Below are 18,404 nucleotides of genomic sequence, written 5' to 3'. Positions count from 1 at the left end.
TTAAAAGCACTGTTGAAAATAAGTTATAATCTTACATGGTTCAAGAAATTCTAGTTCATATGATGAGATATGAAACAGAAATGAATCCTAGCTACTGAGAGATAAAAACCATTACCTCAGAAAAAAATATTAAACCTAAGATCTAAAGAAATCAGCTCAACACATTTTAGAAATTTTTTAGTTGACATCTTTGTGAAAACTGCTCTGTTGTGATGTTAGAGGAAAAAAAGAAGACTAACGTTTTAAAAGACTGTTGAGTGCTATTTTAAAATTTTATTAGGTAACTAACCAACTGATCTTGTGTACAAGATCAGAATATTTAAATGCTCAAATGAAATAAAGAACAATTAGAGAACAAACCTACAACGAAATATCGATAGCCTTACCACTCTAAAAAATACACAGGTTTAAACAGAATTGTACTTTTAAAGTCAAAAGATCTCCAAACACTGTTTCCTCCAATTTTCCATTAATTTTTAAATAGGACATATATGATTTAAAATTCCAAAATTACAGAAGATTCTACAGTAAGTCACTCCTCATGTGTCCTCTAGCCATGCACTACTCCTGAATAAAGATTTCAAAATACTTTTTTCTTACATCCGCAAGTCTTTAGAGGAGATATTTACCAAGAGTTTCCCTACCAGTTAAAAGAAGATTTTCCTGTCAATAATTGATTCATAGCGGACACCTGAAGTGTTAAATAAGATGAAATGTGTTAATAACTGGCAGATTTACTTTAAGGGGCAGGAAAATTCCAAGTCCTCCAGAGAAAGGGTGTTCTGATTGGCAGTGTTTACCTTGTGGAATGGGAAAAATCAAACTGAAAGGAATACACCCAAAAACTCTCACAGTGGGGACCGGGTGCAGTGGCTCACGCCTGTAATCCCAGCACTTTGGGAGGCCGAGGTGGGTGAATCACTTGAGGCCAGGAGTTCAAGACCAGCCTGGCCAACATGGTGAAACCCCCATCTCCACTAAAATCACAAAAATTAGCCGGGCATGGTGGTGCAAGCCTGTAATTCCAGCTACCTGGGAGGCAGCAGAATCGTTTGAACCCAGGAGGCAGAGGCTGCAGTGAGCCAAGATCTGCACTCTACTGCACTCCAGCCTGGGTCAAAGAGCGAGACCCTGCCTCAAAAAAAAAAAAAAAAAAAACTCTCACAGTGGGAAGGTAAGACCATCCTCTCACATACTACTACCACTCCCCCTACCACCCATGGCCACCACCAACAACCACCACGCAGCAAGTAGAGCAAACTTGACTATAGGACTTCTGGTTTACTGATTTCAGGATGCAAGTGGGGAGCAAAATTGAACTACCTGGGACAATAAAAATGAAGGTGAGGAGTTCTTATTTTCCACTTTTCCCCCTACCCCACGTTTAGCTTGTCCTGGAAATAAATGTTGAATAAATATATAAAGAATACAGATCTGAAGAAGTACCAAGTTGTCAGTCTGCTCAAACTGTCCAGTCTAGGCTTTGGTACATACCAGAAGGGACAGGATCCTATCTGCCGTGTGAAAACTTGGGTGTTAGACTCATAGATTAAACCAACAGTTACAAAGTTACAGCTGTACAGAACGTGTGGTATATGGTCTCAACGGCATGTCAGTTTGGGTCAAGGTGTATCAGTCCAGGTACACACACCAACCACTTGCTATCCTTTCTTGTACATAAATATTATTGTCATAGCTAGAAAACTATGCAGTTAGCAATAAAATCCAGAAAGACAAAAGGTCTTAAAAATACATTGATATATGTTAATAACAACCTGGAATCTAAAGCCAATATTTTTCCTACCAAGTAAAAACTGGGACATGGGGGTTTGGAAGTAATAGTGGTATAGCTTACACTGCAACAATCAGTAGATACTATTTTTAATCACGACAACTTTGAGAAAAATATATTCATTTTTTTGTTATTAAGTAAACAAGCAGAATAGAAAGACATACAACTACCAAAGTGTATGTGCACACACACACACACCCCACACACAAATAAATAATTTGTGTAATACTGCAAGAGGAAGATAAAGTAGAAAATATCAAGAAAATATTTAACAGCAGCAATAAGATCAGAGAAATAGGATGAAATGTTAATAAATTGTGCCAATAAAAGCCAGATATTCATATTATACTGAGATACAAAAAGCTTTTCTAAACATGACATGAAACCAAGACAAAACAGATAAGACTGATATAATTTCATGATATTTTAAGGCCGGATGCCATGGCTCACGCCTGTAATCCCAACACTTTTGGAGGCCAAGGCAGGCAGATCACTTGAGGTTAGGAATTCGAGACCAGTCTGGCCAATATGGCGAAACCCCGTCTCTACTAAAAACACACAAATTAGCCAGACATGGTGGCAGATGCCTGTAATCCCAGCTACTGGGGAGGCTGAGGCACAAGAATCACTTGAGCCTGGGAGGCGGAGGTTGCACTGAGATTGCACCACTGCACTCCAGCCTGGGTGACAGAGTGAGGCTCCAAAAAAAAAAAAAAAAAATTCATGATATTTTAAAATAGGCTTATGTCAAATTGTTGATCATATTTACATAGATATAACTGACTGACAGTTAATATTCTTCTCATATGAGAAGCCTCAAAAAATGGCAAGCTAATAGAAAAAGAGATATCAATATGAACTTCTCAGAAAAAAATACATGGATCTAATAAAGACATGGAAAGATGCCCAGCTAGGTGCAGTGGCTCACACCTGTAATCCCAGCACTTTGGGAGGCTGAGGAGGGAGAATCGCTTGAGCCCAGGAGCTGAAGACCAGCCTAGGCAACATAGCAAGATCCTGTCTCTACAGAAAAATTAAAAAAAATTAGCCAGGCATGCTGGTTACACCTGTGGTGCCAGCTAGTAGTAAGCTGAGGTGGCAGAAAGGGTGCATTCTGGTCTGCCCTTTCAACCATGCAGTTAAACTTCGCAGGTAAGGCTGGACAGGTAAGTTTAACTGTGTAGGGCAGCATTAGGAAGCCCATTTTTGCTATCTACTTAAGTCATGTTACATGCTTTCTTCCTAATAAAAATGATCCTTTGATCTCCAATTGTTTAGCCTCCCCTGTTTTCTCTCACCTCGTCTGGAATATGCCCAGTGAACAGTGAGATGTTGTGGACTCATTCAATAACACCCCAATATTAATTATGTAAATATTAAGCACTTATTTTGAAAAGGTACAGCAGGGAAACTGGGATTTGCATAAGAAAATTGAATTCTTATCTATCAAAAATAAAACTAGTGGATAATGTCTAAAATAGATAAATCTAGAAATAGCATACTATTTTATTTTATTTTATTTTACTTTATTTTTAGATGGGAGTCTCACTTTGTTGCCCAGGCTGGAGTACAGTGGCATAATCTCGGCTCACTGCAACCTGTGCCTCCCAGGTTCAAGCGATTCTCCTGTCTCAGCCTCCTGAGTAGTTAGGACTACAGGCATGCACCACCACACTGGCTAGTTTTTGTATTTTCTGTAGAGACGAGGTTTCACCATGTTGGTCAGGCTAGTCTCGAACTCCTGACTTCAAGTGATCCGCCCACCTCAGCCTCCCAAAGTGCTGGGATTACAGGCATGAGCCACCGTGCCCAGCCCTAATTTAAAATAGGGAGGTAATTAACAGAAGTAACCACAGTTGCTTCTAGGCGTCTAGACTGGCAGATTAGATAAGAGCATGTCAGAGAGTTGTTTTTGTCATGAGCCTTTCAGCACAATTTTTTTTTTTTTTTTTGAGACAGAGTCTTCCTCTGCTGCCTAGGCTGGGATATAGATTGTTACCACCTTATTGAAAGGGAAATTGCACTATCAAAAACTTAAATGTATATATCTCTTATCATTGTTTATAACAGCTGCAACGATCAAGTTTATTTAGTTGCAAGGACAGGACCAAAAATATATGGATCTTCTTGTAAAGAGAAGTGAGAAACAGAATTGGAACTGAAAACTTGGGAGAAAGTGAAGTAACTTGAAGGCCCACCCACCTGTCTTTTTCATGGGCTAATCAGTCAATCATATATTCTCCTTCTCTCTCTCCTCTGAGTTGGTTTCTTCAACTTACTCAACAATCCTGCTCCCTCATATCTCTTGTATATGGCTTAAGGCTGCCACATCCCTTCTACCCCAGCTCCTACTTCACAGCATCTCCCAACGAATTCTTACAGTTTCTGCCCGCACTCTTAATTACCCTCCTTAATTTTATATTCTCCAAAAAAAGGAATTTGGCCCAGGGCATCTTCTCATATGAAACCACTAGTAATAAGTCATGGGCTGACTGACTCTGGCCTTCTATCTAATCCAAACAGCAGAGCTCAGGTGGTCAGGAACATGGGCAGGACAAGCTCCATGACATTTCTAGTACACAGACACACACCCTGAAATTCAGGACATCGCCAAAGTGTCCCAGTAATAGCAAACTGGCTAATAAATTGTAGCATATCAGTAGGGGAGGGAACCATGCACAGTATATTGCAAAGTGGAAAACACTGGTTATCTGACCCCAGTAAGGAAATGTGGATAACAGAATTATAGTTCTTAATTTTCTTTTGGTGGCTTTGTATTTTCTAAAATTTCTATAATGAATTTAGATTACTTTTACAATCAGAAAAGAGCAACCACTTACTATGTATAATAATTTTTTTAATTTTTTTCATTTTACTTTGTAAATAAAAAATATTTTGATTACCTTTCCAGCACCACATTTTGTGCCTTCGTTAACCATCCCAGGATCTGGAACATCTGATCCTAGCTGGAAATCCACACCCCAACATTTGGTGCCTCGACTAGGCGTTTGAATAATAGCAGGCACAATTCCAAATACAGGTATCTCTTGTACATTCTCACACTGAAGCTTTCCACACAAAGCATTCCTATAAAGAGAGAGAAATAATGCAACATAAAATGCATCCAGTATACATAACAAAAGAAAAAATTTATATATTTGCATATGGACAGAGTTTGCTGCTATGGAGGGAATCTCAACAGAGAAAGTGTATGAGAGCAAGAGAGGTCAAAGTAGCTCTCTTTAAATACGGCAGAAAAGGCGAAAAAAGAGTTAAGTGGATGCTAAGATGCAAATTAGGGCACCAGCTGGTGCTGATGCTTCTTCTTTTACCACACTTAATCTTCTTCACTGTCTGTCTAGAGCTCAACAGCCTAACTAATAAAGTTGTTTCTAAGTATAATTTTATAAATTCTATTATACAGAAAATAATATAGCAATATCAAAATTCAATTATGTCTTCTTACAGAGTTATGATAAAGAAGAAATTAGATTCTATAATGCAAAATAACTAAGAAAGGATTCCACCCCTCTTTTCCTGGCTAACTCTTGGTTACTTATTTAAAGAATCAATTCATTAACTCGTTAATTCATTAATTAAATATCAGAACTCTATGAAGGCTTCCCTGACCATAATTCTTATTGCCAAGGCTGTGTGAATTAAATGCCCTTCCTATATCCTTTCATAACACTCTAGGTATTTCCAACAATAACTCTTATGATGCTGTACTGAGATTTCCTGTTTAACTGATTGTCATCTGATCCAAGCACCTACTCTATATCTGAATCTTCTCTATGATATCACTGCCCAGTCATCATAGGATATATTTTCCCAATATCTCTAATTTACACCCTCCTGAAACTGCCCATTCTAGCTCCCATCACGTTCTTCTTTCTGCTTATTAGGTAAAAATCTACATCTGTAAAGCATTTATCCTCATTGGTCCCAGATCTTCCCCATGAGACTACACAGATATCTTTTCCTTCTTTCACACAGCAGCTATTTTAGGACAATTATTATGCAGCTCCTAAATACTTACTTCACCAGGTCACTATCCTACAATCACTTTTCATGCAACAAGGACGCTCCCTCCTAAATATGTTCCAGTTTGCCTCACTGCCTCTTGAAGCATAGTGCTCAGAATGGAGCATGAAATTTCAGTGACAGCCTGGTGAGCAAAGAAAAAAATGGAGCTCTTGTTTATTCTAGATACTGTACTTCTATTAAGTTCAAGATTACAATAGCTTTTATAACTACATTATATTATTGATGTCCTTGAATATATCACTAAAACTCCTAATTTTTGTTGTGCTGCTATTAAGTCTTCATCTTCCCTTCATCCTGCATTTAAGAGTTAATAATTTTGTCCCAACTTTACATTTATTCTTATGTCACCATTTATTTGCTAGCTGACCTGAGAGAAGTGCTTACATTTTCTGAGCTTCAGTTTCTTCAGCTGAAAAAAATGAGATAAATGATGCCTATCTCACATAATTAGCTGAAATTAGATATGAAAACCTCAAAAACAAAGTGTAGCATAAAGTAGACCTCAGTTAAGATCTGTTGGGGCCTACCAAAATTCACATTGCTATGATATACTCAGTATTTCATACATAGGCTTGGTGATACATTAAAAAGTAAAGGAAAATACTCTTAGAATATAAAAAGCTGTTACAAATCATTAAGACAAAGAAAATCACTTCAACAGAAAAATTAGCAAAGATGTAAACAGGCAGCTCATAAAATAAGAAATGTAAACAGCCAACAAAACTGAGATGCTCATTCACTGTTGAATAATACTAACAGAAACAAAATTCAGTTACAACCCTCAGTAAAATAATTGCTTCAGGCAAGGATCATCCATAAAGTGAAACACTGGTCAGGAACTGGATATTCATATGGCACAAACTCATCACTCCACATATTACCTGACAGCTGCAATTTTAAAAAGCATAACTCCACAATAGCAAGATCTGGTCATTGCCACTTAGTATCACTAATATTAATAAGACTACCCAGCACTAAGTGACTCCTTGATATAATGCATTGCTTATGAACATTCTCGCCAAAAATATTTAACCTGAATTCAATTAAGATTTTGGGCTTAGGGCCAGGCGCGGTGGCTCACGCCTGTAATCCCAGCACTTTGGGAGGCTAAGGTAAGCGGATCATTTGAGGTCAGGAATTTGAGACCAGCCTGGCCAACATAGGGAAACCCCATCTCTACTAAAAATACAAAACTTAGCCAGGCATGATGGTGCACACCTGTAGTCCTAGCTACTCCAGAGGCTGAGGCACAAGAATCACTTGAATCTGGGAGGTGGAGGTTGCAGTGAGCTGAGATCATGCCACTGCACTCCAGCCTGAGCGAGAGAGTGAGGCTCTACTCAAAAAAAAAAAAAAAAAAAAAAGATTTTGGGCTTAACTTCTGATTTAAATAAAATTCGGATGATAGAGACATAAGTTAAGCAACACCAAAAGGAAACTAAAACAAATCCAGAACATGAGCCCACTGGCCCAGCCATTTCCATAAATCAATGTCACTGAAAAGAAAAAAAATCAGTCTAAAAGGTATTCTGGATTAAAAGTGACTTAAGTGACATAACAACTAAATGCAATGTGTGATCCTTGATTGAGTCCGGATGTTGGAAAATGCCGGCTATAAAAGACAGTTTGAGGACACTTATGGAAATACTAATATTGATCAGATACTAGATGATATTAGGAAATCATTCATTTTGTTAGGTGTGATGTGATCATGTGAATGGCCTTATTTGTTGAAGACGGATGCTGAGGAATTTAGGAGTAAAGTATCATGTCTATAATTTACTTAAAATGGTTCAGCAAAATCTTGATGAAGCAAATAATGATAAGGCATTAATAATGTCTTGGTCTGGGATATATTGGTGTTCATCACACTATTCTTTCTACTCCTCTGTATATTTGGAATTTCTTTTTTATAATGCTTGAAAAAATGACATTGTCTATGTACTAAAAGATAACCCTTTTAGTGAAAGGAAACATTTGGCTTATGTTTATAAATGTATATACACATAAAAAAGAAATACAACAAAAACTTAAGGAAATATCTCTGGATGGTAGGACCATATGTGAATCCTTTCTTTAAATGTTTCTAGATGTTTTTGGTAGTTTCAATGGGTAGAAAAGACTTTTCCAGATTTTACACATTCTCCAAGGAGGATGACAACAAAAATAGTGATGATGATGATGAATGTGACAATGAACCAGATATTCCTCTTAGTACTAACACCCATTAACTCATTCAGTTCAAAACAACACTTGGAAACAGGTGCCATTATTATCCCCATTTTACAGAACAGAAAAATGAGGTATGTATGTGAAGTAATTTGTCCAAAGACTCAGAGATGTTAAGTGATTGAACAAGGATTCAAATCCAAAGAGTCTAACTTCAAATGTATATTCTTAATGACTATATTGTTTGTATACTACTATTACATAAAATGCTTCCTAAATGACTCAGTAATTTTAAAGTTTGATAAGTATAGTTGCTATTTTCAATAAGATATTCATAAAAATATGAAACAAGACAAGGCTAAAGACAAGAATATGGTATATGTCCAGCAAATTCTTTCCAAGTCTGCATTAATCCACTTATCCCTAGATTTTAAATCAGTTCATTCAATCGGTTATATTAATTCTCCACCCATTCATTCTTCATCCATATCATCTGTACCTTCATTCATTCAATGTTTAATAGTCATTTATTATGTTTCCTCCAAGCATTATGCTAAATGCAAGATAAAATGTGTCACTGAACCTTACAGTTTAGTGAGGAACAGCGATAACAAAAGAGCTACATAATTAATGAAACTGACAAATACTTCAAAAGAATATTCCAGAAATGAAAAGAATTTGCTAATGATAAATTTGCTAATGCCCTCCAAGTCATCAGGAGGGCATAACAATCCTAATTGTGTATGCACCTAGTAACAAATTTAAAACATACACAGCAAAAATTTACATACCTAAAAAGATAAATAGACAAATCCACAATCATAACTGGAGACTTCAACACACCTCTCTCAGAAATTGAAGGAACAGATATAACACACGTACACCATAGATATGAAATATTTGAATAAGACTATTAACTTGACATTTATAGAATAACATCTCTAACAACTGCAGAATATACTTTTTCTTTCAATTATACATGGAACATTTACCCATACAGACCATATATTGGTCTGGTATTAAGAGGCTGGCCCACATATTAGTCTGTATGGATGAATGTTCCAAGTGTAACTGAATAATGCACATCTCAAATTCCAAAAAAGTGAAATCATATAGAATGTGTTCTCAATGGAATTGAACTAGACATCAAAACCAAACAGATAACCAGTATATTCCCAACTACTCGGGAATTAAGCAATAGGCTTTCAATAACACGAGTCAAAGGAAAAAAATCAGTGTAAATTAGAAAATACTATGAACTAAAAAATAATGAAAACATATCAAATTCTATGAAAAAGAAGCAAACAGCATCAAGAACACCTGTCAGAGGGAGAGCTGGTCCTGTTGAGGAAGTGGAAGAAGTCTTCTGTAAGGAAACCACACTTCACCTGAGATCTGGAGGACGAAGAACTGAGCAGGCTGAGAGGGGGAAAGACAGCATGCTGAACAGAGGGAACAGCAGGTGCAGAGCCCTGTGGCCGCAGGCCACATGCAGGCCAGCAGGGCTGGAGCTTCTCAGAGAGGAGGCAAATGAAGCCACGGAAGTAAACGAAATCACATGGGGTCAGGGGAGAAGAAGAACACCCTACACAATCACCAAAAAAAAAGAGGTTTCTTCAAGAAGGAGAAAATGGCCAGCATAATTGAATGCTACTGACAGGTCAAGTACTATTGTATGAAGACCTAAAAACGACTGTCAGATTGAGTGACATGGGGGTCTTTGTTGCTATTTCTTCTTAGCAAGCACTGTTTTACTGTAGTTGCTTAGCTTAACTGATAGCATAGGAGGTAGAATGGGTAGAAGCAATGATAATATTACAGAATAATTCCAACTATGTAAAATGTTAGTGTGAAGAAGAAAATAATTTCACTGATATTAGTGAACATATATGGATTGAGATTATACATGACTTTTTCCTCCTTTGTAATGTTTCATTATTAATGTTTTACAAAAAGCAAATGTTAATTGTAGAAATATAAAATATTTTAAATTCATCATCTTGAAATTATACAAAGCTAGAAGAAAATAATGAAGTTCAGAGTTTCTTCTGCAGGTACCTTTATCTAGGGACTTAGTAACATAATCTTTTATGGAAAGGAAAATGAAAATGGTGTTTAGTTGGGGTTCTTATTATAAATCAAGGATAAACAAAATAAGAGTCTAAAAACCACTAGATTGTAGTTGATGTCTAAAGGGACAAATTATGTTACCAGTTCTTTTCCTAACACCAGAGTCTCTCTGAAGCTTTGCATTGTAAAATGTTTGAAAAGTTAGGTATTTAAGGGGGAGAAAATCAGCGGTCACAGAGAGCAGTTGTAAAAGATACTAGAGACGGCCGGGCACAGTGGCTCACGCCTCTAATCCCAGCACTTTGGGAGGCTGAGGCGAGCGGATCACGAAGTCAGGAGATCAAGACCATCCTGGCCAACATGGTGAAACCCCATCTCTACTAAAATACAAAAAATTAGCTGGGCGTGGTGGCACATGCCTGTAGTCCCAGCTACTCAGGAGGCTGAGGCAGGGGAATCACTTGAACCTGGGAGGCGGAGGGTGCAGCGAGCCGAGATCGCGCCACTGCACTCCAGCCTGGCAACAGAGCAAGACTCCGTCTCAAAAAAAAAAAAAAAAAAAAGATACTAGAGATGACGGATCTTATAATCTTTCATATTCCATTATGACCGCACCTCCACTTACCCAGTGGCACACTTCTTGTATTCATTGCCAGAGAAACCACAATTGCCAAATCTGTCACCTTTAGAATTCACTTCAATGAAACAATCTTTGGGGGCAGCCTTGGCTTCTGTAACATTAAACATTTAAAAAAAGAAAAAAAAAGTTATGGCAATTTAGCTTTTGAAATAAAAGTATTCCCTACAACAGTCTAAACACCTGGATGAACAGCCTCAATACCCCTCAACACCGTGGAAAACCTTTCCTGCCTCACACATGATACATTTTTGTTCCACATTTCATATGTAATGACAAAATGTAAAAATAAATCTTAAGTTGTACTTAAAAGTTAGCCTGAATTCAAACTCAAGCCCTAAAAGAAACACTATTAAATAATAGATTATAAGTAAATTAAAAACCATGCACAGTATAGTACCATTTGCAGCATATTCATTCTCATTGCTCTCACATATAAACCAACTGCACCACTGGTTAGATCAGCTAGGAAGGGTTGGAGAAAACACTGCCAGCTAATACTTTTGTTTTTTTCATTTATCATATATGGATGCTTGGTTTAGATGTCCCTACTAATTAAATACATTGACAAACACTGACGACAGATGACAAAGTAACAATCTATTCTTGCTTTCCCTTTTTTTTTTTTTTTTAAGAGACAGGATCTCACTCTGTCACCCAGGCTGGAGTGCAGTGGCACGTTCATAGCTTACTGTAACCTTGAACTCTTGGTCTCAAGCAATCCTCCCACCTCAGCCTCCCAAACAGCTAGAACTACAGGTACACGCCACCATGCTTGGCTAATTTTTGTTTTTATTTTTGTAGAGATGGGGTCTTGCTATGTTGCCTATGTTGCAAAATGCATATTTTTAAATAATAAAAATATGTTTTGTGGCTATTCAATTGGCAAAGTTTTAAAAATGGAAATACTTGATGTTGGAAACATATGAAGGAATGAACAGTCACGTATAGCAAATGAAGGTAAAAAGTGGTATATATTTCTGGAGATTATGTGGAAATGTCTTAGAAGCCTTTAATACAGGAATCCTGCTTCTGGAAATTTATCCAGAAGGATAAATGGAGGCCACAACTAAACCATACAGATGTTTACTGCTAACACTGTTGACTGTTTAAATAAATTATAGTATATCATTAACACAATGTTGTAGAAAAATGGTTAACATGGAAAAGTATTCACAATTTATTGTTAGTATTGAAAACGGGCAGTTACATTTTAGCTTTTTTTTTTTTTTTTTTTTTGAGACAGAGTCTCATTCTGTTGCCCAGGCTAGAATGCAGTGGCAAGGTCATAGCTCACTGCAGCCTTTACCTCACAGGCTAAAGTGATCCTCCTGCCTTAGCCTCCTAAGTAGATGGAAATGCAGGCATGCACCACCACACTTGACTAATTTTTTTTTTTTTTTTTTTTTTTTAGTGAGACAAGGTCTTGCTATGCAGCCCAGGCTGAAAGGCAGCAGGTTTTAAAGCAGTATGTCAATATGATACCATTTTTGTATATTATACACTCATATGCACAAAAAATAAGTGAAAGATATTCATGAAATTTTCAACAGTTACTTATCCAGAATATTGACAGTAGAGGAAATATTTATTTTCTACCTTTTGCTTATTTGTATATTCAATATTTCAATATGTCCTATTTCCATTTAAGAAGTAAACCAATGTAAGTTATTTTCCTTTAACAATGTCTTTGATAAATTCTAGCAGTAAGTCTTCATCAGCTCACCATGCTCACGGTGGATGAGATCATGGTTTTGCTGCTTTCTGTTGTGTGACCTCAGGCAAACCATTTAGCTCTCTGAGCCCTGCCTTCCTCATAAGGTTTTTTAAGGGCCAAATTTGATAGTAAGCGTCAATACCTTCTCTTATGTTAGCTCTCAAGTTCTTCACTTATTTGATAAATATTTATTTGGTGTTTACTAAAAATATAAGGAATTTGAGAATGCATGAGCTAGTGAAGGACTTTTAAATCCTTATTCTCCACATGTTCAAATGTTCAAAGGAATGAAAACTAGACCTATAACACCAGAATTGACTTATCTTTAAAATCAGAAGCCATCAACAAACTTCAGGTAAGAAGTCTGAATACATGCACGTATTTTCCCTCCCTCCTAAAATCCCACAGAAAGTAGTTTTTTTTTTTTAATTCATAAACCCACAGACAATGGAACTGGGAAAGGAGACTGCACAAAACTTAGAAGCCGAAAAGAAATTGGTGAAGTAATAAATGACTCAATGTATCTCAGAAAACTGAATCTTAAAGTGGCAACAGAAAAAACTGAGATCAACCCTTTTTACACCGTAGAATTCCTCGGAGATAAGAAACTGGTAGTAATAGGTACCTCTGGCTATAGAGAATAAGGAGGGGCAGGTGGCAGGAATAAAGAGGAAAAATTTTAAATCTGCTTAAGAAGCAGTTTGGCCCACAAGTCACCTACCATCTTTGTGAAGCCAAGTGACTGTCTCTTCTCTACCCTGGCAAAACACTGGAGGTTTATTTTCTGGAGAGAGTAGAACACAAGGTTCCAGGACTCAAGAGATACCAGGCACAGTAACAGGCACAGAAACTCTTCTAAAAACAAGGGGATGAACTGAGCATTTACCTACCTCATACTGAGGTCCCAGCCTTATTTTCCCTCACCTCCTGTTTCCCTCCCAGAATGCTGACAGTCAGGTCTTTTTTTTTTTTTTTTTTTTTTTTTTTTTTTTTTTTTTTGAGGAGAAGTTTCACTCTTGTCACTCGGGCTGGAGTGCAATGGCATGATCTCGGCTCAATGCAACCTCCACCTCCCTGGTTCAAGCGATTCTCCTGCCTCAGCCTCCTGAGTAGCTGGGATTACAGGTGCCCGCCATCATGCCAAGCTAATTTTTGTATTTTTAGTAGAGACAGGGCTTCACCATGTTGGCCAGGCTGGTCTCGAACTCCTGACCTCAGGCAATCCACATGCCTCGGCCTCCCAAAGTGCTAGGATTAGAGGTGTGAGCCACCGTGCCCGACTGACAGCTAGGACTTGGCCCTCCAGGATGCAGATAGATAAGGTCTTCACAAGGGAATCTTAACAAGCCCAAGAGGAAAAAAACCTAAAGATGTGGATTTTCCATTTCCCTAATTAAAAAGTTCAGCTGTATCATCCTATAGGAAAGCTTTCAGTTAACAAGCCTCCCCCATGAGCCTAGAGTGACCTCTCTGCTTCTTATTCCCCTCCTTTGGACCAGGGACTATGGGAGAGCTGAGGAACATGGCTAATGTGAAAGATGGAAACTCAAACAAAGAAAAAAGGTAATATGAAACAGAGGTTACGCAGAAGAAAGAAAACTTTTTAAACAACATATGCAAATCAATAAACATAATCCAGCATATAAACGGAACCAAAGACAAAAACCACATGGTTATCTCAACAGATGCAGAAAAGGCCTTTGACAAAATTCAACAGCCCTTCATGCTAAAAACTCTCAATACATTAGGTATTGATGGGACATATCTCAAAATAATAAGAGCCATTTATGACAAACCCACAGCCAATATCATACTGAATGGGCAAAAACTGGAAGCATCCCCTCTGAAAACTGGCACAAGACAGGGATGCCCTCTCTCACCACTCCTATTCAACATACTGTTGGAAGTTCTGGCCAGGGCAATCAGGCAGGAGAAAGAAATAAAGGGTATTCAATTAGGAAAAGAGGAAGTCAAATTGTCCCTGTTTGCAGATGACATGATTGTACATCTAGAAAACCCCACCGTCTCAGCCCAAAATCTCCTTAAGCTGATAAGCAACTTCAGCAAAGTCTGAGGATACAAAATCAATGTGCAAAAATCACAAGCATTCTTATACACCAATAACAGAGAGCCAAATCATAAGTGAACTCCCATTCACAATTGCTAAAAAGAGAATAAAATACCTAGGAATCCAACTTACAAGGGATGTGAAGGACCTCTTCAAGGAGAACTACAAACCACTGCTCAATGAAATAAAAGAGGACACAAACAAATGGAAGAACATTCCATGCTCATGGATAGGAATAATCAATATCGTGAAAATGGCCATACTGCCCAAGGTAATTTATACATTCAATGCCATCCCCATCAAGCTACCAATGACTTTCTTCACAGAATTGGAAAAAAATACTTTAAAGTTCATATGGAACCAAAAAAGAGCCCACATTGCCAAGTCAATCCTAAGCCAAAAGAACAAAGCTGGAGGCATCACACTACCTGACTTCAAACTATACTACAAGGCCACAGTAACCAAAATAGCATGGTACTGGTACCAAAACAGAGATATAGACCAATGGAACAGAACAGAGCCCTCAGAAATAATACCACACATCTACAACCATCTGATCTTTGAAAAACCTGACAAAAACAAGAAATGGGGAAAGGATTCCCTATTTAATAAATAGTGCTGGGAAAACTGGCTAGCCATATGTAGAAAACTGAAACTGGATCCCTTCCTTACACCTTATACAAAAATTAATTCAAGATGGATTAAAGACTGAAATGTTAGACCCAAAATCATACAAACCCTAGAAGAAAACCTAGGCAATACCATTCAGGACATAGGCATGGGCAAGGACTTCATGTCTAAAACACCAAAAGCAATGGCAACAAAAGCCAAAATTGACAAATAGGATCTAATTAAACTAAAGAGCTTCTGCACAGCAAAAGAAACTACCATCAGAGTGAACAGGCAACCTACAAAATGAGAGAAAATTTTTGCAATCTACTCATCTAACAAAGGGCTAATATCCAGAATCTACAAAGAACTCAAACAAATTTACAACAAAAATCAAACAACCCCATCAAAAAGTGGGCAAAGGAGATGAACAGACATTTCTCAAAAGAAGACATTTATGAAGCCAACAGACACATGAAAAAATGCTCATCATCACTGGCCATCAGACAAACGCAAATCAAAACCACAATGAGATACCATCTCACGCCATTTAGAATGGCGATCATTAAAAAGTCAGGAAACAACAGGTGCTGGAGAGGATGTGGAGAAATAGGAACACTTTTACACTGTTGGTTGGACTGTAAACTAGTTCAACCATTGTGGAAGACAGTGTGGCGATTCCTCAAGGATCTAGAACTAGAAATACCATTTGACCCAGCCATCCCATTACTGGGTATATACCCAAAGGATTATAAATCATGCTGCTATAAAGACATATGCACACGTATGTTTATTGCAGCACTATTCACAACAGCAAAGACTTGGAACCAACCCAAATGTCCATCAATGATAGACTGGATTAAGAAAACGTGGCACATAGACACCATGGAATATTATGCAGCCATGAAAAAGGATGAGTTCATGTCCTTCGTAGGGACATGGATGAAGCTGGAAACCGTCATTCTCAGCAAACTATCCCAAGGACAAAAAACCAAACACCGCATGTTCTCACTCATAGGTTGGAATTGAAGAATGAGAACACTTGGACACAGGAAAGGGAACATCACACACCGGGGCCTGTCATGGGGTGGGGGGAGTGGGAAGGGATAGCATTAGGATATACACCTAATGTAAATGACGAGTTAATGGCTGCAGCATATCAACATGGCACATGTATACATATGTGACAAACCTGCACGTTGTGCACATGTACCCTAGAACTTAAAATATATTTAAAAAAAAGAAAAAAATTATCATTAACATACTGACAAACATGAGAGATGTTTCGTGCATGAAATAAGAACAGATTATGTCCTTTTTTTTTTTTTTTTTTTTTTTGAGATGTAGCCTCGCACTGTCGCCCAGACTCGAGTGCAATGGTGCGATCTCGGCTCACTGCAAGCTCCGCCTCCCGGGTTCACGCCATTCTCCTGCCTCAGCCTCCCGAGTAGCTGGGAATACAGGCGCCTGCCACCACACCAGGCTAATTTTTTTATTTGGTATTTTTAGTAGAGACAGGGTTTTACCACGTTAGCCAGGATGGTCTCAATCTCCTGACCTTGTGATCCGCCCACCTCAGCCTCCCAAAGAGCTGGGATTACAGGCGTGAGCCACCGCGCCTGGCCAAGAATAGATTATTTCTTAAAAATAAGTGGGAAAAAAACTCAGAGAATATAAAAGAGTTTCTGAAAACTAAAATCATAGTGCCTGAAATGAAAACCGCAATAAAAGAGTTAGAAGATAAAGTTGAAGAAGTTGCTCAGAAAGTAGGTCAAAAAAAAAAAACAAAAAAAAACACAGATAAAAAGACAGGAAAGATAAGAAAATCCAGGAAATCCAAAATCCAAGGAAATCTAGTAAATCCAATATCCAAATAATATGTGATCCAGGAAAAGAAATCACACCAAAAAAATGAAAGGGAAGAAATTTCCAGAACTAAAAAAAATGAGTTCCCAGATTGAATGTACCCACCAATTACATAGCACGGTGAATAAAAACAAACCCACATCAAGGCATATCACCTTGAAGAGGTCATTCTCCAAGCTTTTTCAGAGGGGGTGAGGGAAAAGCTAGGTATAAAAATCAGAATGGCTTCAGACTTTCCAACAGCAACTCTGTAAACTGGAAGACAATAAAGCAATGCCTTCAAAACTGTGACAGAAAATGATTTCCATCCCCATCAATCAAGTATTTAGTCCAAATAAAACCATTTTCACACTTGCAGGATCTCAAAAAATTTACCTCTAATTCACCTTATCTAAGGAAACTACCGAAAGGAAAGCTCCATGAAAGGAGGAAATAAACAAAGAAAGAAGGTAATATGGGAAATGCAAACAGGAGATTCAAAAGGGAGAGAGCCAATGATTCGCCTTCAGATTATGGTGAAAGATCTCAGGATAAATACTGATTACACTATTGGCAATCCTGGTTCTCAGGCCTTCAAATCTGGACTGGAACTAAACCATCATCTCTCCTGTGTCTCCATCTTGCCAAATCATCCTACAAATCTGGGATTTTCAGTTGCTTACCATAATCGCATGAGCCAATTGCTTATAATAAATGAATAAACATATATATAATATGTATATATCCAATTGATATTGTTTCTCTGCAGTCTAACTAATTCAGATTTTGGACCAACAGTGGTTCCAGAGGAACAGAACTTTGAGAATGAGTTTTCTGAATTGATTCCAAGGTTTCTAGAATGGGCTATCTAATCTGATTAGATTTTTAAAGACACTTATGACTCTATTTCCAAAAGTTAACGTAGCACTGATAGTTCACGGCATGATATGGTAATTGCAGTCCAAAAACATATCAACACTAGAGACTCCTAATCAGACATTTACAAGAAGCAAGGATCTGGGTAACTATGTATATGATGCCTTCAAACATTTTTCTCATACTAACAGTATGAGATTGCCTGGTTGCTCCTTATTTTACTGGACAAAGTAGGGAAAGAAGATGATAAGCGCAGGGATTCCTAGTTCAAGCACCATATAAGTGACCTGAAATTTTCTGTGTGTGCCCTAAAGGACAGCCATATCGCCGGTAGTTGCAGAGCTGAGATTGTTGAAAATCAAACCTAGAATCTTATCCTGTGACTGGCTGAAAGCAAATTGAACTCCTAGCCTTGTAGGGTATCTACTGTTAAATTGAGGTTATTGATCAATAAGGAACTGGATCTTGAAAGTTGAAATGAGGACATGTGGGGAGACTTTGATAAAGCTGGGTACACTGAGCTCTAAACTCTTTCTTTTCTTGTTTGTTTGTTTTGAGACAGAGTCTTGCTCTG

General features: G+C 37.8%; 1 protein-coding gene across 7 annotated transcripts in view; it reads right to left on the bottom strand.

Moving 5' to 3' along the window:
* Positions 1-18,404, bottom strand: part of ADAM9 (ADAM metallopeptidase domain 9) — a 108,289-nt gene that overhangs the window by 23,155 nt on the left and 66,730 nt on the right. For 5 of the 7 annotated variants that reach the window (NR_027638.2, NR_027878.2, NR_027639.2 and 2 more), the window contains exons 15-16: positions 10,704-10,809; positions 4,696-4,879 (exon numbers count right to left, since the gene is read on the bottom strand). Coding sequence is in view for 3 of the 7 variants with exons in the window: in NM_003816.3 (NP_003807.1) it covers positions 4,696-4,879; positions 10,704-10,809 (290 nt within the window). In the remaining 4 variants the exon portion in view is untranslated. Of the gene's footprint in view, positions 1-4,695; positions 4,880-5,831; positions 5,961-10,703; positions 10,810-18,404 lie in introns of those variants that run through there. The other 2 variants (XR_007060759.1, XM_047422390.1) reach the window with 2 other exon arrangements.

The sequence above is a fragment of the Homo sapiens genome, chromosome 8 (genome assembly GCF_000001405.40).
Source record: "Homo sapiens chromosome 8, GRCh38.p14 Primary Assembly".
NCBI lineage: Eukaryota > Metazoa > Chordata > Mammalia > Primates > Hominidae > Homo > Homo sapiens.
The sequence above is the reverse complement of the archived record's forward strand: the minus strand, read 5'-3'. Positions and strand labels throughout refer to the sequence as shown.